At 54.5% G+C, this 22076-nt stretch overlaps 3 long non-coding RNA genes across 6 annotated transcripts in view, besides 6 other annotated features; 2 read left to right on the forward strand and 1 right to left on the reverse strand.

Moving 5' to 3' along the window:
* Positions 214-8941, forward strand: LOC124901321 (uncharacterized). Its single transcript, XR_007059591.1, has 2 exons — positions 214-255; positions 8338-8941. It is a non-coding gene; the product is annotated as an uncharacterized LOC124901321 (long non-coding RNA).
* Positions 3304-3804: an enhancer, noted in NCBI's record as "H3K4me1 hESC enhancer chr6:43961654-43962154 (GRCh37/hg19 assembly coordinates)". NCBI's record gives its function as "activates a minimal SCP1, AML or CMV promoter by ChIP-STARR-seq in naive H9 embryonic stem cells {active_cell/tissue: H9 hESC(naive)}" and the evidence as "EXISTENCE:reporter gene assay evidence [ECO:0000049][PMID:30033119]".
* SCIRT (stem cell inhibitory RNA transcript) overlaps positions 5110-22076 on the reverse strand; it is a 78930-nt gene continuing 61963 nt past the window's right edge. The window contains exons 2-5 of one of the 2 annotated variants that reach the window (NR_125864.1): positions 10430-10503; positions 9978-10102; positions 8605-8895; positions 5110-6695 (exon numbers count right to left, since the gene is read on the reverse strand). This is a non-coding gene — a long non-coding RNA (stem cell inhibitory RNA transcript). Of the gene's footprint in view, positions 6696-8604; positions 8896-9977; positions 10103-10429; positions 10504-12972; positions 13038-22076 lie in introns of those variants that run through there. The other variant, NR_125865.1, reaches the window with a different exon arrangement.
* On the forward strand, positions 9972-16999 carry LINC03040 (long intergenic non-protein coding RNA 3040). Of its 3 annotated transcripts, none has more exons than NR_160955.1 (4): positions 9972-10087; positions 10361-10530; positions 11440-11514; positions 12068-16999. It is a non-coding gene; the product is annotated as a long intergenic non-protein coding RNA 3040 (long non-coding RNA). The 3 variants fall into 3 exon arrangements; NR_160954.1 differs by having other exon boundaries at positions 10404-10530; NR_160956.1 differs by lacking the exon at positions 10361-10530.
* Positions 10079-10228: an enhancer, noted in NCBI's record as "active region_24624". NCBI's record gives its function as "activates an Ori minimal core promoter by ATAC-STARR-seq in GM12878 lymphoblastoid cells {active_cell/tissue: GM12878}" and the evidence as "EXISTENCE:reporter gene assay evidence [ECO:0000049][PMID:35858748]".
* Positions 12151-12320: a silencer, noted in NCBI's record as "silent region_17244". NCBI's record gives its function as "represses an Ori minimal core promoter by ATAC-STARR-seq in GM12878 lymphoblastoid cells {active_cell/tissue: GM12878}" and the evidence as "EXISTENCE:reporter gene assay evidence [ECO:0000049][PMID:35858748]".
* Positions 13969-14600: an enhancer, noted in NCBI's record as "H3K4me1 hESC enhancer chr6:43972319-43972950 (GRCh37/hg19 assembly coordinates)". NCBI's record gives its function as "activates a minimal SCP1, AML or CMV promoter by ChIP-STARR-seq in primed H9 embryonic stem cells {active_cell/tissue: H9 hESC(primed)}" and the evidence as "EXISTENCE:reporter gene assay evidence [ECO:0000049][PMID:30033119]".
* Positions 19619-20818: an enhancer, noted in NCBI's record as "CDK7 strongly-dependent group 2 enhancer chr6:43977969-43979168 (GRCh37/hg19 assembly coordinates)". NCBI's record gives its function as "activates an origin of replication core promoter dependent on BRD2, BRD4, P300/CBP, MED14 and CDK7 cofactors, with strong dependence on CDK7, by STARR-seq in HCT116 cells {active_cell/tissue: HCT116}" and the evidence as "EXISTENCE:reporter gene assay evidence [ECO:0000049][PMID:35650434]".
* Positions 19909-20107: a silencer, noted in NCBI's record as "fragment chr6:43978259-43978457 (GRCh37/hg19 assembly coordinates)". NCBI's record gives its function as "represses an EF-1alpha promoter that drives an FKBP-Casp9 reporter gene in an ReSE screen in HepG2 liver carcinoma cells {active_cell/tissue: HepG2}" and the evidence as "EXISTENCE:reporter gene assay evidence [ECO:0000049][PMID:32094911]".

Raw genomic sequence — 22076 nt, forward strand, 5'->3', positions numbered from 1 at the left:
GAGCACTGCACGGTAGCGCTCACCCCCTCTTTCCCCTTCGCCATTCCTGCAGCTCTTGCCTTCTTCCATGGGCCACCAGCTCCAGCTATCTCTGATCCCTGTCCCCCATGAACTCTCTGCCTTTCCTGCCCTCCCCCACCCACCACACAGAGGAATCCAGATGCCTTGCACACGTGACTCCTCTGAGCTGGGCAGAGGACCCTGGCCAGGCCCAGACAACATAAATACATCCTGAGAGTTTACATTGTGTGGGCCGTGAGTACACAGCAGTCGGCCGGCTGCTGCCCCTGTTTACCCCTGTTTATTCCCTGGGGGTTCATGGACAGGGCGCCACCATAGGAGGAGGGTGGAGGGAATCCTTGGGTGGCTGCAGCTGTGTGGATGTCAACGTACTAAGAACCCCAGGAAAGCTTGTAGGCCTCACAGGCCACTCCCTCCTACCACGTCCCAGCTGCCCTCCCTGTTCCAATGAAGATGCCGTGATGCACGTGGGAGTCTGAGTACAGAGTGGCCTCCCTGAGTCTGTGGTTGGGGGGCCCCCTGGCCGTCCTTCCCCTTGGCCCTCAGCCCTGCCCCAGGAACCCAGCTCAAGCTTTCGTGGATTTTCTGAGGTCAGGCCAAGCTGGGCCTGGCTTGGGTTAATCATTATTCATGCTGTCTCTGGAACTTTTCCAGGATGTTTTCATTTTCTGAGCACTTCTGATCTCTCAGCATCTTCCCCACTGGCTCTGAAAAGCAAATTCTGCTGGGATTGTCCATTGTGTGCATGGGAAGGTTGAGGCCCAAAGGGTATGCCGGTCCTGAGTTCCACCATAGCTGTCTGCGGTGCTTGCGTTCAAAATCAGTGAGAAGCCAGCAGAGATGACTGCCTCATAGTGACCCTGCACAGAGATCCACTTTACAGATGAGAAACTGAGGCTCAAAGTGGTTCAGTGACTTGCCCACGGTTACTCAGCTGGTGAAGTCGCCATTCAAACTCAGCTCTGTCTGGCTCTAACTTCCCTGCATGGTCCTTCCCACCCACAGCCCACCTCTTACCCAGAGAGCTCAGATGAGCAGGCAGGGAGACAAGACGGTTTTCCAAAAGCTCCACCCTTCCCTAAGATATTTCTATTGGAAAGCCAGAGTGCATTCATTCCTGTGAATTCTTTCTCATTGGTAGTGTAAACTCCTGTGCCAAAAATTGGTGGGGTCGGGGGCGGCGGGGGCGGGGGGAGAGACTAATAATAATAATAATAAAAATAACAAAAGCTAATGTTTATTGAGCACTTGCTGTATGCATGCTTCTAGTCTAAGTGCTATATAGTAAATACAATATCTCACGGAATCCTCACTACAACTCTGTAAGACATGATATTATTCAGTCCTGTTTACAGCTGAGAAGACTGAGGCACAAAGAGGTATGGTGACTTGTCCAAGGTCAGGTATCAGAGCCACGATTGGAACCCAGAGCCACTGTGCTGTGTGTAGGAGATCTGGGTGATGACTGACTTCGCAGAGTAGTTTAAATAGCATGGTTGTGCACAGAGGCACACACACACAGCAAATAGTGAGGGACAGGTGAAGCTGAGCCACGGTGTCTGGGAGTAACGTGAGTAGTGCAGGGTGGATTAGGGAAGGGTTCCTGGTGGAGATGGGATGTGTGGCAGGGCTTAAAGGATGTGAGAGATATAGACCATGCCCAACAGTGTGGGGGCCTGGGGCAGGATTATCCACAAAGAGTCACCCACGTGACCTGAACATAGTAGGTGTTGAGTAACTGTTATTGGATGATTGGTGATAGCAACATGGTGGTTGTGATGGAAGTAGCAACAGAGGAGGGAGTGGTCTGATGGTGCTGGTGGCAATGGTAGCTATGTCAGTGCTGGAGGAAGTAGCGATGATGGTGTGACAGTGGAGGTGTTAGGTGGTGTTGGTGATGAAGATGGGAATGGAATTAGCAATAAAGGCAAGAACAAAGACACCTTTTACTTTACCAACCTGTACAATCCTTTGCAGCAGACACCAGCCTCACACATTCTTAATCCTCACAGCTACCTTCAGGTGGTATCCTCATTTTACAAACGATGACACTGAACCACAAGCAAGTCAAATCCTGCTTGTGCAAGGTCACAAGGCCAGTAAGTAGCAGAAACCCGATTGGCTCAGGCTCTCTGCCTTCAGGGCCAGTGGCTCTCAGCTTCCTCCCCACTCAGAGGGAGGGCAGTGTCATGATGCCATGGGTGGGTATCAAGGCGAGGGCATTCTGCACTCCCAACACAGCAGGCTCAGCTGTGCTCTGTTTGGAGGAGTGGGGTGGAGCAAGACTGAGTGAGAGCAAATGCAGTTCTAATCCTGGCCCCACCACCCATGTGCTGTGTGACCTTCTCTGGGCAGTGGCCAAGGTAGATGCCAGCTGCCAGGTGACAGCAGGCCTGCCGGGCAGAGCCAGTGGAGCCTGGCAGGAGCCACACACACCAAGGGGATGAAGTCAGGGGTGAGAAATAATCTTGGAGTCAGAGGAAGGCTTGCTCTGGGTGACATTCCTGGAAAGTTCTGCTCTGATTGGCTTGAGATTGGGGCTTCTGCATAGGCCTTTCCAGTCAAGAACAAGTTTATTAATAAACCCTGTGTCTGCCCCCTGCCCTCACCCTGGGGAAAAGGCAGGGCTTCCTGGGGCTCCTGGGGTGGTGAGTTCCATTGAGGGGGGACAGGGATTGAGCCCTTTAATGGGGTGCAAATGCCCTGCAGCTCCCAGATGACATGCTTCTGCCATAGACTCAGGGGCTTAGGAGAAATGCCAACAGGAGTGGGTGGCATGCATGTGAGCACATGGGTGTGCAAGCATGCATGAATGACTGTACGCATAGCGAGGTGTGTACACATGAGTTCCTGAACAAGGTTATCAGGTTATCACGGTAATAATAGACTCCTGGGGGCTCCTGGGTGTATGGGTATATATGGATTGGCCTGTAAGAATGTAAACCTACGCTAGGTGTGGTGGCTCACAGCTGTAATCCCAGCACTTTGGGTGGTCAAAGCAGGAGGATCTCTTGAGTTCAGGAGTTCAAGACCAGCCTGGGCAACATAGTAAGACTCCCTTCTCTACAAAAAAAAAAAAAAAAAATTGTTAAATTAGCCAGGCATGATGACACATGACTGTGTTCTCAGCCACTCAGGAGGCTGAGGCCGGAGGATCACTTGAGTCCAGAAGGTCAAGCCTACAGTGAACTAAGATTGTGCCACTGCACTCCATCCTGGGTGACAGAGTGAGACCCTGTCTCTAAAAAATAAAAATTAAGAGTGTAAACCTGTGTCTCAGCTGCTGGTGAGTGTATTCTTCATGTGCCCTTGTGAGCACCTAGGTGATGTGTGGGCGGCTGTGGGAGGAGGACTGAGTCTGAGGGTTGCCAAGGCCCTCCCAGGCACTTCCCTCTGCAGCTCATTAGCATCCAAAGGCTAAATTTACTGCATTTGCTCCCCCACCCGTGGGCTCTGACCTCATTAGGCCCCTGCTCCTTTCCTCAGACAGTGGGGCTGGGAAGGAGGGATGGCTCCTTTATCTGCAGTGTAGGATCCCTTGAGGGAGGAGGGAAAGTCCTGGGGGCAGGGGCAGGGGAATGCCAGGGCACAAAACTTAATATAGTCACAGGGCAGGCCGAGGAGGATGTTGTCTCCTATTACACCTGCCACCTGGCCCCCATCACATGATCAGCTCTTGCTGGCGAGTCATGGGCAGAGTGAGGAGCACCTACTCCTGGACATTGCAGGAGGCCGCACTCCACTCTGCCCCCTCCACAAATGGAGCCCTTCTCCCAGCTGATCCTCCTGGGAAGGGCAGGGTCCAGCCAGCCCTCTGCTCAGTGTGGCTCTGGCATGGATCAGCTGGGTGGTCCTGACCCCCAGTGGACCTGGTCAGGAAGGGAGGGAAGCTGCAGGGACATCCCACTGATCTTAGCATGGCCACCAAGGGACAGCTTCCTCTGGTGCATACCCTCCCCCACTTCCCTCTTGGTCAGAACCATGGCCCCACACTATGGCATTCCTGTAGGCAGAGCCCTAGGCTAGAACTAGGGGTGACAGCCAGGGTGAGAAAGAGCAGGGGTAGCCAGGTCAGCAGCCCCTCCAAGACTCTCCAGGAGACCAGTGTGGATGCAAAAGAAGGCAGGTTCAAAGTCAGCTCCTCCTCTAAGCCCCTCCTAGATAGGGCTCAGACTGAGGGGAGACACAGCCCTTACTCAGGGAGCCCCAGTCTGAGGGGAGATGCAGCCCTGTCCTCAGGGACCCCCAGTCGGAAGGAACTATCATGCTACTTGTCCTCTCTTGAGTTTCTTGTGTAACCCTGGGGGTTTTACTCAATATCTCAGAGCCTCTGTTTTCTTGTCTGTGTAATGGCAACATGGCCACACACCTCAAAGATGTTTGGTTCATGCCAGTCAGATCACAAAACCTGAGTAAAATGTAGCTATTCTTTTTCATTTGGAGTTTTCTTGTGGAAGAAATCATCGCATTTAGTCTTTCTTTGGAGAAGCCAGTTGCAGTGGGATCTTGTGTACCTCCCAGTCCTCTCCCAAAGACTAATGTCGTGATGGTCTGGCTGTCTTGACACACCTGGCCTTCCCAGGCAGCCCCAGGCTGGACATTTATAGTCAACAAATATTATGGAAAGTCAGCCATACAAGAGGCCCCAGGCCTGAGGACACCAGTGCAGCAGGGGTCAAGGCAAGCCCTGCAGCCACCCACCCCAGGCCAGTTCACTCCACAGCTATGGATGAAGCGGGGAGGAAGGCTCCCCCTTCCTCTCACTAGCTACCTGCCCCCCACCACTTGTCTGTTGACTTGGGGGACCCTCGACAGCTTCAGAGACTGGCTTCAGGGTACCTGGGGGATATACCCTCTCAAACCTGCAACTGTGAATGAGGATGGGAAGCTGCCAAGAGGTATACATGTGTGTGTGTGTCCAGCCCTGTCACAACTGAAGAGTGGAATTCCTTCCCACATGCACTGTACGATGATACCACACATGGCTGTCCCAGGGACCAAGGCTTTCTGTCCCTGGGACAGAGGGCCTAGAGGGCCCAGACTCTAGCTATAAATGCCCCCAGAAAACAGTCCGGTGGCTTCTGGTCATTTGCTTCTTAGGTACTTTGTAAAATTTATTCTTCTTGAGATGTTAGATTTGTGCATCAAATTGTACAAATCATTAAGGGTGCAGCTTGGTGAATTTTATGTAATGCCCACATAACCACCACCCGGTGCAAGCACAGAATGTTTTCAGCACCCCAGGAGGTTCCCTGAAGCCCCTCCCAGTCAATTCCACCTTCCAGAGGTAACCACTATTCTGACTTCTATCCCCATAGATCTGCTTTGCCTGTTCTTGAATCTCATGTAAATGGAATCATAGCATATGCACACTTTTGTGTCTGCCTCGTGCTGTGCAATATTATGTCTGTGAAGTTCATCCATGTTGCTCAAGTAACACTAGGTTTTCCTTTTGTATTGCTGAGTAGTATTCCATTAAGTGGATATGCCACAGTTTATGTACCTATTCTGGGACATTTAGGTTATTTCCAGTTTTTAATTAATATGATGCAAGCAGACACAGCATTCCTGTATGTTTTCTGGTGCTCCTAAATATGGCAACCCAAATCTTGAGAGCAGATTTTGAGGGCAACGCATGGTTAAGAACTCCAGGGAAGAGGAATTAAAAATGACTGGGCTCCTGCTCTGGGCCATGAGCTTTTGTGGATCCACTGGACCAATCACTAAGGAAGGAAGACAGAGAAAGAGCAGCTCCCAAGGGGAACTCCTCTGAGCTCATCACTGAGCCTGGAGCCAGCTGTGTGTGTGTGTGTGTGTGTGTGTGTGTGTGTGTGTGTGTGTGTGTGTGTGATTGGATTTGTTGCCGGGGCTGCCATAACACAGTACCACAGACTTGGTGACTCAGTAGTTTAAAACAACAGAAACGTATTCTCGCACAGTGAAGGAGGCCAAAAGTCTGAAATCAAGGTGTTGGCAGAGTCTGTTTCTTCCAGAGGCTCTGATGGAGATTGTTCCTTGCCTCTCTCCTTGCTTCTGGGGGCTGCCAGCACCTTGGTATTTCTCGGCTCATAGCTGCATCACTCCAATCTCTGACTCCATCATCACATGGCCTTCTGCTCTGTGTCTCCATGTCTCTGTTTTCAAATCTTTTTCTCCTTATAAGGACACCAGTCACTGGATTTAAGGCCCACTCTAATCCAGTAAGATCTCATCTTAATTTGATTACATCTACAAACACCCTATTTCCAACTACGGTCACATCCCCAGGTACTGGGGGTTAGGACTCCAACTTATCTTTTTGGTGGGGATGGGGGGGCACAATTCAACCAACAACAGTGATTATGGCTGTGTGTCTGTGTGTGTAAGACTGAGTGTGCATGAGTGTGTGTATTAATGTGTATACGCGTGAGGGGTAGTGAGTGTTATGCACATGTGCTTGTGAGAACATGTCTGCGATGGTGTTTCTCGGTGTGCTTATGTGACTGTGGGCATGTACATATGAGCATGTGTGTATATGTGCTTCTGTTTCCACGACTTGGAGACCCTGCTGGATGAGCTGAGAAGGGCAGCAAGGCAGGACGGTGGCAACAGGTTGAAGAGGTGCTTGGGGCCAGCCAGGTGAGCAGGCAGGCCTTGCCTCATGAATCTGGAAGAGTAGCTGGTGGATACAGACTCTGAGAAACAAGGACAAGGATGTTTGTTGAGCTGGGATACAGGCTGGTAGGCCCAGGCAGTAGCTCCTGACAGCAGTGCCTGTTCCCAGGTCTTCTTTCAGGAATATTCCTAGAAACCCTCTCCACCCATGCTCCTGACCCTTGCATCCCATTTGCCTGGACAGAGAGGCACTGCCTGACTCCTCCCTTCCCAGGAATAAAAGTCAGCACTCAGTTACCTGTTGTGCCAGCCAGGTAGGGGCGGGGCAGGTAGCCAGTCCTTCCCTAGACCCACCCCCAGCCTAGTCCAAAGTAGCACCCAATCACCCATCCCTATGCCCTGCCATGCCTCTCAACTTGTATCTTGCACCTTGGCTGGGGCTGGACCCCAGAAATCAAAGAAAAACGGGGGGAGCATGTAGCAGTCAGGTAAGGTCCAGAATGAGGGCTTCTTATCTCCCTAGGGCAGCTCTCTTAGGCAAGCCCACCATCAAGCGACAGGATATTGGGAAGGTCTCCTCATAGTAATGTCAACTCAGGGCCTGCTCTGAGCCGGGTTATCTCATTTAAATTTCACAATCAGGCCAGGTGTGGTGGCTTTTGCCTATAAGCCCAGTATTTTGGGGGAGTGAGAGGTGACAGGGTGCTGGCAGTCCTCACAGCCCTCGCTCACTCTCGGCGCCTCCTCTGCCTGGGCTCCCACTTTGGCCACACTTGAGGAGCCCTTCAGCCCGCCGCTGCACTGTGGAAGCCCCTTTCTGGGCTGGCCAAGGCCGGAGCCGGCTCCCTCAGCTTGCGAGGAAGTGTGGAGGGAGAGGGGCGGGCGGGAACCGGGGCTGCGCGCGGTGCTTGCGGGCCAGCGCAAGTTCCGGGTGGGCGTGGGCTCGGCAGACCCCGCACTCGGAGCAGCCCGCCAGGCCCCACCGGCCCTGGGCAGTGAGGGGCTTAGCACCTGGGCCAGCAGCTGCTGTGCTCAATTTCTCCCCGGGCCTTAGCTGCCTTCCCGCGGGGCAGGGCTCGGGACCTGCAGCCTGCCATGCCTGAGACTCCTCCTGGCTCCGTGGGCTCCTGTGCGGCCAGAGCCTCCCCGACGAGCGCCACCCCCTGCTCCATGGCGCCCAGTCCCATCCACCACCCAAGGGCTGAGGAGTGCGGGCGCACAGCGCCGGACTGGCAGGCAGCTCCACCTGCAGCCCTGGTGCAGGATCCACTGGGTGTAGCCAGCTGGGCTCCTGAGTCTGGTGGGGACGTGGAGAACCTTTATGTCTAGCTCAGGGATTGTAAATACACCAATTGGCACTCTGTATCTAGCTCAAGGTTTGTAAACACACCAATCAGCACTGTGAATGCACCAATCGACACTGTATCTAGCTACTCTGGTGGGGACTTGGAGAACCTTTGTGTCAACACTCTGTATCTAGCTAATCTAGTGGGGACATGGTGAACCTTTGTGTCTAGCTCGGATTGTAAACGCACCAATCAGCACCCTGTCAAAACAGACCACTGGGCTCTACCAATCAGCAGGATGTGGGTGGGGCCAGATAAGAGAATAAAAGCAGGCTGCCCCAGCCCGCAGTGGCAACCCGCTGGGATCCCTTTCCACGCTGTGGAAGCTTTGTTCTTTTGCTCTTTGCAATAAATCTTGCTACTGCTCACTCTGTAGGTCCACGCTGCCTTTATGAGCTGTAACACTCACCGCGAAGGTCTGCAGCTTCACTCCTGAAGCCAGCGAGACTACGAGCCCACCGGGAGGAACAGACAACTCCAGACGCGCCGCCCTAAGAACTGTAACACTCACCGCGAAGGTCTGCAGCTTCACCCCTAAGCCAGCGAGACCACGAACCCACCAGAAGGAAGAAACTCTGAACACATCTGAACATCAGAAGGAACAAACTCTGGACACGCTGTCTTTAAGAACTGTAACACTCACCGCGAGGGTCCGCGGCTTCATTCTTGAAGTCAGTGAGACCAAGAACCCACCAATTCCGGACACAGGAGGATCGCTTGAGCCCAGGAATTCAAGACCAGCCTGGGCAACCCAGCAACACTCCATCTCTACAGAAGTTGTAAAATTAGCTGGGCGTGATGGGGCGCATCTGTAGTCCTAGCTACTTATCCTAGCCTTGGCGAGAGGATCACTTGAGCCCAGGAGGTTAAGGCTGCAGTGAGCCATGATTGCACCACTGCACTCCAGCCGGGGTAACAAAGTCAGACCGTGTCTCTAAAAATAAATAAATAAATAAAAATAAAATAAATTTGACAACCAAGTTTAAATGGTGTTCTCATTATTCCCATTTTACAGATGCAGTCACTGGGGCCCCCAAGAAGTTAAGTGATCTGCCTAAGATCACATGCCTTTGTTTATATGTGTTGGAATTTTTCAATTCTCTCTGGAAATCCACATCCTCCACCCCCAACCCAGACTCCAACACAACTGCTTCCACCACGGCCCACCTGCGTACCCCACACATATCCCTGAAGTGCAGACTTCCTCCCATCCTTCCCCAGGAAGATTCCCTGGTCTGTGGGGTAGCGAGTGTTGGGGTGGTCTCTCCTTCCCTCCCATGCTTCTAGATTCCTCTGTAGGGTCCCGGTTTTGTTTTTGGTGTGGCAGCAAGCTCACTGCCTTTTTGAGTACTGTATGTCAGTGAGTTTGCATGCACACACCTGGAGGAGGGATGTGTGGGCATGAGAGGTATCTGGGCAAGTGGGCTTACTTGCCCACCTGGGGCACATGTGGGTACAGTGCAGTGGAGCATACATTGCCTAGATTGTAACCGTGTGTGTGCCTAGACACAGGCAAATGAGCCCATGTGGGTGTTCATGAAGGGCCTGCCCCCTGCATGTTTGGGGGTCTGTAGAATGAGTCCCCATTTCTCTCCCCTTCCCAAATAACTGCCACCATCTTCAGTTCAGACTCCTGGGCCCCAGGTAAGGGGCTGGTGAAAACCGCCTGTGACTGGGGACAGAGACACCTGAGTCTTAAGCCCCACCCAGGCTGCTAGTGCCCTTGAGCAGGCATCACCCCACCCAGGCAGCGGGAGTGTCCTCACCCAATGGGATAGGGTGACATGGGGGAGGAGGTTTGAAGCGGGGAGAAGGCAGCGAGGCTTTCAGCTCCCTAGATGGGAGGCTCATTACCCTAGCACTCAGTAGGTTGTAGGGAAGGGGGACTGAGCCAGGACTTGGCACTGACTACAAAGGGTAGGGGCAGCCCCCAGCACTCCCGCCGCGGCAGGCCAGGGGAGGGGCTGTGACGTTTGGTGGCCTCATGCAGCTGAGAGGAAGTAGCTAATTGCCAACCTGATGACTGGCGGCTGAGGAGTGGGGTGATGATGCCACTGGCAGAAGCAGGCGCCCTGGCCCAAGGAGGAGGCCCTTCAGCAACGGAGTGGGCCTGCATTCTGCGGAGGGTGAGACTGAGGTGGCTGCAGTCAAAGGAGAAGGGGGCAGGGGTTTGTTGAGGCTGTGACCGTGGGAAAGCGCTTCTCCAGGGCTTCCCTCAGCTTCAAGGAGAAAGAGTTCAGAGGCCCTGAGGGGATGAAGGGACTTGTGAAGGGGCTTCAGGGGGATGGGTTGGGGGGAAGGAGGTTCCTATTCTTACTCCCCTTCTGCCTATGCTCCCCCAATGTTCCTGTCTCTCCCCTCCCCCACCTTGGCCCCCTCTTTGGCCCCTGTGGCCAAAGTTGTTGAGGAAGGAGGGAGTAGATGGAGGGCTCTTTTCACCAGAAGACCCCCAGGCACAAGCAGCCCACCTTACTGATGGTCAGAGCATCCAGAAGAAGTGGCAAGACTTCAGCTGTCCTCAAAGCAGGAAGACAGAGTGTTTCTGGCAGAAAGAACAGCACAAGCAAAGGTTAGGCAGTGGGGTCTGGAGAGGCTGGTGGAGGACTGGGGCTTGGCTTCAATGGTTATGAGAGGAGGTGGGCAGGATGTTCTGTACCAAGGGCCACACTGTCCCTTCCTGGAAGAAACAGTGGGTACCCAGCACCCAGAGCTTCTCCCACATGCTGGCCACCGCCTCTGGCCCCAGTAGACCTGGCCCTCAACTGCCTCAGCAAGCCTCACAGGTTGGGGACCCCACCCTCATTATTCTCAAGTGCATCAACCCCGAAGGACTGAAGCCCCGAGTCCCAATAAACAGGTCCCATCCATCCGTAGGCCAGTCCGCTGGGCCCCTAGCACCCCCTATGGGCAGGAAGCAACACTAATGGAGGAGGAGCCTCCAGCAGCCTGGGGTGGGGTGGGGGTGGGAGAGTGAGACGTGAGGGAGGAGAGAGACTTGCCCTCTAGGAAGCGGACAGACCATGCCTCAGGAAACCCCAGTGTCACAGGTCACAGACACTGACCTTGAAGCGTTACTCTCATGGGTGAAATTTAGCCCCTGTCCTCAGGAAGCTCCCAGTCTGACGGGGGACACATATAGTGCTCTCAGAGCTGCCTTCTTTAGGGTGAAACTCAGTATCTGGGCTTCAGGAAACTCCCAGTGTAAGGGGAGAGACACGACCCTGCCCTTAGGGATCTCTCAAATGAGGCATACCCACTGGACTTTCGGGAACCATCAATCTGTTTCCAGACATGGATTAGAGATTTCAATGCCTCAAGGGCTGCCAGGAAAAAAAATACAAGACGTCCAATTAAATTGAATATCAGATAAACAACGAATAATATTTTAGCATAAGTCTGTCCCATACAATATTTGGGACAGACTTACACTATTTAAAGTATCCAGTTTAACTGGAAGTCTTGTGTTTTTATTTGCCAGATCTGGTAACCCTAGGTGCCTCCAGTTTGAGGGAGGAGAGAGGACACCCCCTCCACCCCAGACATAGGAAAGCAGGTAAACACCTCAGCGTGCTCCGGAGGGCAGGGGTGGGGCAGGAGGAGAGTCCTGGGGCTCCGGCTCGCGGCAGTTTAAAATTCCTTCCAGGCCAGAGCCCTAATCCCTCGGTGCACAATGGCCGCCTTCTCCCCCGCCGCCCGCGCCCACGCCCTCCCCCGCGGGGCCGTGGCAGTGCCACCAAGGGCCTCTTTAAGCCCCTTTGAAGCCGCGGAGCCCCGCGCCGCAGGAGGCCCCGCCGCTATGCCAGCTATGCCAGCTATGTCCCTGCTGCCGCCGGCCGCCACCGCTCCCCCATTAATGCTGGCTAATCTGGCTAATAAATAAACTCCCCTCCCAGCCCCAGCCCCGCGCCGACTCCTCCCCGCCCCCGCAGAATCGATGTCAGGGCTCGACTAGAGCAAGCGCCCGCACTCCACCCCACTCCCTCGAGATGTAGCTGACGTTTTTTCTTATGGCTGCCCTAGGTCTGTAGCCCGTCGGGGATTCTCGGGGAGACGTGGGATTTGGGAGGTCTCCGCCTAGCCACTGCGTTTGCCTTCCTCTTTTCCAGTCCACCTGCGCACCAGGGGCAGGACACGTGGCTGGGTGCAGACGCTGGCCCGGATGTCGCGGAGGACTCGCGGGCCGGTAGAGCGCGCGGCGGCGGCGGCGGCGGCGGCGGCGGGAGGAGACGCAGGTCACGCCCCCTTCCCACCACCTCCCGCCGCCGACGGGGCGCGCGCGCCGAGGAGCCCGGGACAGGTGACTCCTAGAGGACTGCGTCTGCGCCTCCCCCGGCGGGAGTCCCTTCTTCGCGGCCTCTGCCGCCCCCTGCGTCCCCTCCTGGGCTTCCGAGAGTCTGACTCAGCCAAGCCGGCATCGCTTCGCCTCCTACAACACACCCCGAGCGCGAGAAGAAATTACAGGATTGCAGGGGCACGGCTAATGCGCTCTAATTACCCACCGCCGCTGTCATCCGCGGCGCTCCGCGGCGCTGGGCCAACGCGCCGTAATTAAGACGCCGCTCCCCGGTCCCGGAACCCTCCCTTCGCCACCCTCCACCCACCCACCTCGCGGTCCCCAGGACCACTGGCTGCCAACTCCTGCCGCCCTCTGGGACTGCCCCTCAGTCCCAGGAGAGCTATGAGGCCTCACTGGGGGCAGAACTTGGGGAGACCGAAGCCGGCCCTTCCACTCCCCTAAACCTACAGTCCTGGAAGGTCTCTGCTGGAAGAGACTGGGAGAGTGGGGAGGGGCCAGGGACCTATTTCGTTGACAGAAACAGTGAGGTCTATTGGAAAGTTAGCCTTCAGTGGGAGGAGTGGCAAAGGCACGCAGGGCAGCAGTACCCCCGTTTGGCACTTGAGGCACGGAGAAGGGAAGGGAAGTCCGCCCAGCCAGAACTCCCAGACCCGCTCGTTTAACAGTGGCTTTATGAGCAGCACGACGGACTCCCTCCCCTGGCGGGGAAATTACCTTCCTGCGAAGAAAGGTGACATCCCCGCCACAGACACGGAGGCCCCGCCTGCTGGCCAGCTGTGGCCGCCATAGGGGAGCTGGTGAGGAGTGAGGTGGCTCTGGCCTCCCATGTCAGGTAGGGTGAGAGAGGCCCTGAAGATAGAAGCCAGGCCCGAAGGCCAGAATTAAAGGGGTAGCTTGGCCATCAGCTCCTTCCCCCAAAACCAGGCTCAGAGCTCTCCTCTATCAGCAATTCTTTCCTGAGGTCCAGGGTGTTGCAAACTCATGGCCTTGGGCCACGTTTTACCTTCAGTGAGGTTTTGTTTGGCTTGCAATGAGTACATGGGTTTTAGGTTGAATGTGAGAGTCTGCAGACAATGTGGGTTCTCCGACTGCCCTCCCAGTGAAGGTGGACCTCTGATTTAGACCGGCCCGCTGGGCCCGTGCCTACATCCTTTTCCTCAGCGTCAGGATCTTAGTCCCCATGATTGCTGCCCCTTTGTGGTCTGCATGTTTCTTGGTAAGGGTGCCCAGTCAAGTGTCTCTGGGAGCCCCCTCTTCTCTGTCATCGTCAGGCTCCCCACTTGCAGTGGCCGTGGTGGCTGCACATGCTCCCGGATACCCCTCCAGCACTCCCTTTTGTCATCTTGAGTTTCAGTCCGTGACTTGGGTGGCACCCTATCTTCTCCATCAGGGATGGTAGCTATTTTTCTGCCATGAGACTAGAGGTTGCTTGAGAACAGGAAATTGGATCTCTCCCTTCAGGCTGGGATTTCACTAAGGGCTGGAGAAGGGGGGAATATGGGAGGATTATCTCCTATCACAGGGAGCGCTCTGAGGGCAAGGCTGTGTCTCCGATTCAGACTGACGGTTCCCTGAGGATGGGGCTGTTTCTCCCCTCCGACTGGGGCTCCCTGAGGATGGGGCTGTTTCTCCCCTCCGACTGGGGCTCCCTGAGGACAGGGCTGTGTCTCCCCTCAGCCTGGGGCTCCCTGAGTCAGGGCTGTGTCTCCCCTCAGACTGGGGCTCCCTGAGGACGGGGCTGTGTCTGCCTCAGACTGGGAATCCCTGAAGATGGGGCCGTGTCTCCCTCAAAGTGGGGCTCCCTCAGGACAGCGTTGTGTCTCCCCTCAGACTGCGGCTCCCTGAGGACGGGGCTGTGTCTCCCTCAGACTGGGGCTCCCTGAAGAAAGGGCTGCTTCTCCCTCAGACTGGAGCTCCCTGAAGATGGGGCTGTGTCCCCCTCAGACTGGGGCTGCCTGAGGATGAGGCTGCATCTCCCCTCAGACTGGAGCTCCCTGAGGGCAGGGCTGTCTCCCCCCTTCAGACTGGGGCCTCCCCCAAAGGACAGGGACTGTGTCTCCCCTGGGACTAGGTTCTTTGTGTCTTCTGCATCAGACAGATTCCCATGAGGACAGGGCTGTCTCCCCCTCCATCTGGAGCTCCCTGAAGGCAATGGCCTCTCCCCTCAAATGGGACATTTGCACCCCACCCCACCCTCTGGCTCCCCATGGCGCCCAGGCATTCCTCCCAGGACACCATTTGTCACGCTTTGATGAATGAAACTTACTAAGAATAACTCAGTCCTTGTAGACTCTAAAGGACAGGGGGAGGGAGAGGGAGGAGGCTGGTGATTGTGGGGGTGCTGGGGGAGGGAGGACACAATCCATTTATTCAATAGCATTTCCTGAGTCCCCAGCTGGGCACTGGGGGAGACACAGTGAGTGCCACAGAGCCCCCTACTGTGCCATTTCTGCCACTGACTGCCAGGGCAGACTCTGAGACAGAAAGTTCAGGTTCCTGCTTCAGAGCCTCCCCACCCCAGCAGTCATTACCTCAGGGCCACCCAGCCCCCTCCATGCCAGTCATGAGCTCCCTCTGCCCCTCCCTTCAGTGGAGGGGAGACTTTGAAATCAGGTGCTTGGGGGGGGGGCGCTGCTCCCAGTGGGGGTGTGAGGAACCTGGAGGATGAATCCCTGTCCCCCGCCCTCCCCCTACTCTATTCTTCCTTACCCTGCCCCTTTCCACTCCAAAACCTCAAGCCTCTGGTTCACATCTGAGTGACCTTTCCAAAGCAACTGTTCTCAGGGGGTCCTTGGGAGCCGGGAGGCTGTGACCTTAACCCACTTCTTTGGACAGTGCCTTCCTGGCACTCCACCCCCACCTGCCACCTCCTGAGAGGAACATTTCGGCTGGTCTTGGCAAAAACATCAGTCTATGATCCAGGCAGCCTGGTACAGTACCAGCTCTGCCACTGACACCACTGTGACCTTGGGAAGCCATTTACACATATGGGTCTCAGTTTCTCCATATGTAAAATGACTTTTGTTTAGCTTTCCTGATTTTCAAACCTTTTTTTCAAACAGTGAATCCTCTTGTTTAAATTGTAAATCATGTGGCATCTCTGTTCTCTGTGGTAACATAGGAAAAAGGTCGGGGGTTCTTTGGTCAAAATAGGGGTGGGCTTCATGCCCCAGCGGTTAGTCCATGACACACGAATGCACACATACGTGTGCGCACAGATCAGCTCCTGGGCACTGCAGAGTCCACTTCACAAACGTATGAACTCTGAAATCCTTTCCTGCTCAAACATTCTGGGACCCTGACAGGACCGGGAGCTCTAGAACCAGGGGTGCCGACAGCTCTAAGGAGGAGGCTGTGATTTCAGACCCCTGGGCCTGGGGCTGGGGCTTGAGCCAGCAGGAGTTCCTTTCCACACTTGGGTCCAAAGTCACTGCCTGGGCAAACCCTCACTGCTCTCTGCCCTCCCCACCCATCCAAGCCAGAGGTCAGATAGGCTTATCTGATGCTGAGCCCCCTTAGAGGGGTGGCGGGGGCCAAGTGGAGACAGAGTGTCCTTCATCAGTGGGGAGGGGCAGCAGGTTGGGTGGCAGGCTCTGGGAGTTCTTCTCTGGAATCCCTCTCACATGCCTCGGAGGAGGGTCAGAGTGGTAGGGTGGGAGGGCCAGCAGGGCCCTGCAGTGGCTGAGGGCTGGGGGCTGACCCCAGGAAGCCCAAGGCGGGCAGCATAGGTAGGGGAGACTCAGGGAGCTGCACCACTCCATCCACAAGTGTGAGAATTTGATACCAACAGGGAACGCAGGTAGGACAGGGCCCATCAGACACTGATGACAGGAAGGCAAGAGTGAAGAGAGGAGCAAGTACAGCCCAGGGAAGAAAAAAGTCACCAATAAGAGGCAGGCCTAGGCCTGGGCTCCCAGCTTGGGGCAGCAGAGCAGATCCCTTCAAGGGAGAAACCACAGATATGCCCCAGCCTCTCCTTGATGCTGTGAGTCAGGGGTGCTTAGAAAGGCTCGTGTTCAGTTCCAAATGCCCAGGGTCACCACGAAGGAGGTGCTGCCCCCTCCCCTGCACCCCAAGCAACCTGCATCTGCATGGCCCTGGAGAGGCCATTGCTCCTGATTTCCCTCAGGAAACATGGCCAGGGAGCTGCTGTGAGAGTTTTCCCCGAGTCCCCACCTCCCTGAGATGTACAATGAGGGAAGGGAAGAGGTATCTCACCGACTTCTGCCCTTCCATCTCAAACAAAGACACACACACACTCTCTCTCTCTCTCTCTCTCTCTCTCTCTCTGTCTCTCTGTCTCTCTCTCTTTCTGGCATTTGTCCCCAGAGAGTGCCTAGAGACTTCACAGCCTTGGCCCTGGAAACCCCTAGACAGCCGCTATGTTGCCAGGCACGGCTCTGGGCACTGAGGCTACAGCAATGAAAAAATCAGCCAAGTTCTCTGCCTTCATGGTGCTCACATTCTAGGCAGAGAAAGACAGATGATCAACAAGTGAAAAAATCATAAAGCTCAGGTCATGGTGTGGCAAGTATTAGAGTGGAGAGCGATGGGGTGGGGTGGGGGCGCTGTTTTATATGGGGTGGTCCAAAAATATCTTGGTGAGGTGGTGACATTTGAGTGGAAACCTGGACAGCAAGAAGCTAGTCGTGCTTTGGGGTCAAAAGGACTCCAAAATTTCAGTTTTTTAAATGGAAAACATGTGTTTACCCATAAACATTAAAGAGCAGGGAAATTAGAACTATGTTTCTGGAGCACCTATTATATGTCTAGCACCATGATGGAAAATTCATAGACATCATTTCCCACCGCCCTCTTCAGAACCCTGTGTGTCACATAGCATTGTTTTCATTTTACAGATATCAAATGAGAAATCCATAGAGATTATTTCACGCATTTAATAAGATTTATTGAGTATTCACCTCTGAAAACACTGTAATAAATCCCATACGGACCCTGCCCTCCTAGAGCCTACAGTCTGTGACAGCGAGGAGAACGGTCAGGGAGGGCTTCCTGGAGAAGCCCATGTCTAAACTGAGCCCGAAAGGATGAGGAGGGGGTGACAATTGAAGTGAGTTGGCGGGGCCCGAATTTTAGGCAGAAGGAGCAGCCTGCACAAAGGCCTGGAGCCTGGAGCACACGGCTCCCTGCAGTTACAGCAGGGAAGTGAGAGTCGTGCAGGATGGCCCAGCCTGGAGCGGGAGTGGGGCAAGCTAAGGCTGGGGGGTTGGCTGGGGCTGGGCAAGAGGGGCAGGGTAGGTCTGGACTTCCTTCATGGGAGACCATGCTACGAAAGGGTTATAAACAGAGAAGTAGCAGGGCCAGGTGTCTCTTTAAAAGGCTTCCTGTGGGGGCTGAGGCAAGGAGTGGGCTGGGGGCTGGGAGAGGGGGTGTGGCACCAGCAGCAGTGAGACTGGTGGGCAGAAGTAAAGGACTGAGGAGGGGGTCCTGGCCAGGTTCCTGAGGAGGCTGGGGTGGTGAGTAGGACCCTGCAGGCAGGGCGGATGAGCCACTTGGTGTGGCTGTTAGGCAGGGCAGGTGAGTGGAGCCCTAGCCAGAGCTCTGATGACCTGGCTACCTCCAAGTGACAGGGTTACCAATGGCAAAAGGTGGATGCCAGCCAACAGCGAGGCCTATCAGGCAATTCCTACAGGCTCACGCATTGTACCCACATGTACACACAGGTGTGTGCACACCACACAGACACACAAATACACATGCATCTGGCCCCACTCCCCCATCTGTATTGATAATGGGCTGGGAAGGGGCACGGGAGCCGGGGCAGAGATCACAGAACAGCAGCACCTTGCTTAGCTCAAGCCTCAGGCCCTGTGCACCTCTTTCTGGAGCCCCAGGGCAGATGCCATTCCATAGCTCGGGCCTGTAAGTGCCCCAACTCCTCATATTCCCTGAGAACCTGCTTGTAGGTACCTAATCTAGGATAAGCAGACTCCCTCCTGGTCACATTAACAGGGAATGCATCCCTGAGCTTCACAGCCAGCAGCAGAATCCAGACTCGGACAGACCCTGATGGGTGGAGGGAATAGGCCATACCAGAGAGATGAGCATTCACAGGACCAGCGCGAGGACTCGAACTCAAGGTGAGACACTCAACAGCTCAAACACAGTCTGGGGGAGGCCACACGTAAGAACAATTTGTGTGAACATTACTGGGAGGAGCCTTGCCCCTCAGGGAGCAATGAGCGTGCAGACTTGGGCTGCACTAATGGGAGGGCTGAGTCCAACCAGAGAGGGGCTGCTCCCTGGGCACCAAGCTGGCCAGGCCCTCCTGGAGCAGTGGGTCCAGACCTGGGGACCTCCTCAAGGGGACAGTGACAAAAAGAGTGACAGGGTGGGGAGGAGTCCAGAAACCCCATCATCTAAGGAAGCGCCACAGGGGTGTTTCACCCCAAGAAAGAAAGCCCTTTCTGTGGATGCTATCCCACTTTTACATGCTCTACCTGATGCCTCGCCCTGGTCTTGGGGTTGCACTTAATAGAGGCAGCTTTGCAGGTACCCATTTGGTTGATCTGTGGTGCCTCCCTAACTAGGCTGTAAGTAGCATGAGGTCAAGGGCTGTATATGCTTTTTACCATTGTTTTCCTGGTGCCTGTCCCATACTGGAAGCTCAATAACTGTCTATACATGGAAAGAAGAAGGAAAGAGGGAAGGAAGAAAAAGGAAGGAAGGAAGGGAGGAAGGGAGGAAGGGAAGAGGGAGGAAGGGAGGTAGGAAGGAGGGAGGAGGGAAGGAGGGAAGGAGGGAGGGAGAAAGGGAGGGAGGAAGGGAGAAGGGAAGGAGGGAGGAAAGTGGGGAGGTAGGAAGGGAGGGAGGGCGGAGGGGAGGGGAAGGGAAAGGGAAGGGGGGAAGAAAGGAAGAAAGAGAGTTGAGCATGCCTTGAATGCTCTGAAGGCTGCCATGCAAAGAAGGGTTAAACTGGTTCTCCAGGAGCAGAAGAAATGCCAGCAGAAGGTGAACTCAGGGAGTCAGTTTTTAAATCACCGACAGTAGGAAATCTTAAAAGTCAGATGGTCACAATGTCGATTGGATGATCCCAAAGGACTACGAGCTTCTCAGGAATGAGTTTAAGCAGAAGCAAAAGTAGCGCTTCACAGAGGTGCTGTTGCTTCAATGAAGGAACCAATGAATGGTGAGTGAATTAATGAATGAATGAAACTACCACTGAATACTACAGAGAATTTCACATGCTGGACAGAAGACTGGAGACCTCTGACGTTTGTCTCAGAAGTGAGTCTGTGAGACTGGCGCTATGCCAGACCCCAGGTAGGCAACGAGCCATGGGCCCTGTCCTCAAAGAGCCCAGTGAGAGATGCACGCAGCACACGCACAGAGGCAGAAAACACACTTTGAATCTCTCTAGCAACCCCAGACAGGTCATGCTGGAAGACATTCATAGCAGTGCAAGGAGAAGCGTCTTGAGAGAAGCTCAGCCCTGACTCCGCTCCCCATACCTTCTCAGCTTTCTCAAGGAGGTAACTTTCTAGAACCCCCTTTGGGCCACTTTCCCAGGGGTGACCCTTTGGCACACGTCTGTCCTGAGGTCGTGGCCTGTCTGGCAGCCTCCTCCTCAGGGTTAGGAGTGGGGTTGGCACCTGGCCATCCTGCAGAGGGCAGGGGTAGGTGCTTCAACAGCCCCAGCTCTGGGACATGTGCAGGTGCCCTAGTTCCAAGCCCCCACTGGCAGGTTCAGAAGACTGAGACACATGGCCAGGCCCTGACCCCTTGCCTGCAAGCTTCCTAAGAGCAGGGATCATCTCTTACCTGCCTCGGTCTCTCAGTGCTGGCACAGCATGGCTACTCAGTGTATGTGAGCTGAGTGGCAGAGTGCCAGGGCTGGCAGAGCTGCCATGAAAAGGGGTGCTGTGCTCAGGGAGATGGAGATGGGGTGCCTTCCTAGTAGGGTGCAGTAGCACTAGGCAGGGACTAGGAAGAGCATGCAAGTCCCCTGGGCCCCCTAAGGCCAGCACCGGGTCAGACTTGTCTTCTCTCCATGTTCAGGGTCTGCCCTGTCTCCAGCAGCCCCACTGTGGCTGGTGACCTGTCAGTGACTCACAGCCAGCTGTGGGCACAGAGTGGAGAAAGTGGCCTCCAGCTGAGCTCATGCACTAGCAATTAGCCCTCTACACCTCCTCACCATGGAGAGCCTCCCAGCTTCCACGCACGCACGTCCCAGGCTGCCCTTTCCCAACCGCAGCGTGGCTCTTGTGCTTATTTTAGCCTGATGAAGCCTCTTGAAATGTCAGAGCTGCAACCAACCAAGCTAGGGACCATCCAGTTGAATCCTTTCATTCAACCAGGGAGAAAATGGGGATTCAGAGAGGGAGTGAGAGATGCGCTTCAGGTCACACAGCTAATTGGTTGTGCAGCCAGAAATGAACTGCAGGCTTCCGGAGCCCAGATCCAGCTGTCCTTAACTCTAGGGGGCAATGTGCTTCAGGTAGCCCCTCACCAGACTTCTGGAGCCACTGGAGCCAGCACACATGTGTTTGAATCCTTCTTGGCCACTTGTCAGCTGTGAGACTATGGGCAAGTTACTCAGCATCTCCAGGCTTCTGTTTCTCCACCTGTAAAATGAGGATAACAGAGGCATGTCCCTCCCAGGTTGGTGTGAGGAATGAATGAGTTCATATATCTGAACTGCTAAAAGCAGTGCCAAGCACATAGCACACACTCAAAACACATTAGCTGACATTGTGTAGTCACCAAGACTTGGTCTCTGGTGTGGAAAGTTTAAAAATTCAGTTTTATGTGTTTGTCCATGGGTGAGCAGATTCTGGGACACCAGCCATATAACCAGACTTCTGGAAAACTGGTGGTGCTACTGTGGGGACAGGTGTTGCTGTCAGAAAGATCCACAGTAGACACAGAAACTGCCTTCCACTTTGGCAGTCACCATCTGAGACCCACAGATTGCAGACATCGAGGCAAAGGCAGTTTGGAGATTCTCAGGGCTATTCAAGCTCGGTGAGCCTGAAGAAGTGCCCTTCTGAACTCAAGAACTGGGCCTCTGTTTGTTAATCTGAAAAATAGGGGAAATCATAGCCTTGGGCTCACTGGGTGGTTGCAGGCATTAGATCAGGTGGGACAGTACCTGAAATAATCCTTTCTAGCCTTCCTCCTCCCTCTTTCTTTGTCACGACCCCCATCATCTGCTTGAGGCCAGTTCTCTCGATTCAGAGCTGCCTCCCCACTGGGCCCAGTTGGATAAACACTGACAAATTCTTCCCCTTCCAAGTTCCTCTTTTCCCAGTCACCAAATCTCTGATACCTCACACCAGATGAGTTATGGTCCCAGAACATGTACAAGATTGGGGTGTTCTCATTCCAACCCTGGAGATCCTTGTTGAATGGATGACTCAGTGAATCAACAACTGCAACGATTCCCAGAACTTCCTGAAAACTCACTCTGAGCTCTTAACATTGGGCAACACTCTGGTTTCCCCCAGAGCCCCACCACAAACCACCTCTGAGGAGAGGCGGCTCTGCAGTTGCCTCATCACTCTTTGCTGCCCTTCATCATGCTCATTTACACGAGAACTTTCTCTGCCCTTACTTCTCCACCACCCAGTCTGGACAACCAGGTGTGTTTGCATTCTCCCCTGCAGGAGGGCAACACAACCGTTCTGCTGTCCATAACCACTGCTGGCATGCCTAGTGGTCAGTCTTGAGCCCTCTCCATCTGCCCAAGTCACAACTGTCCCCCTACCCACCCCACCCAACTTCCTATGATTGCCTGCATAGGACAACTGACTCTTCTTGCTTGCTATTCCAGCTCCACTAATAGCCCATGACCCCCT

The sequence above is a fragment of the Homo sapiens genome, chromosome 6 (genome assembly GCF_000001405.40).
Source record: "Homo sapiens chromosome 6, GRCh38.p14 Primary Assembly".
In the NCBI taxonomy this organism is placed as follows: Eukaryota; Metazoa; Chordata; class Mammalia; order Primates; family Hominidae; genus Homo; species Homo sapiens.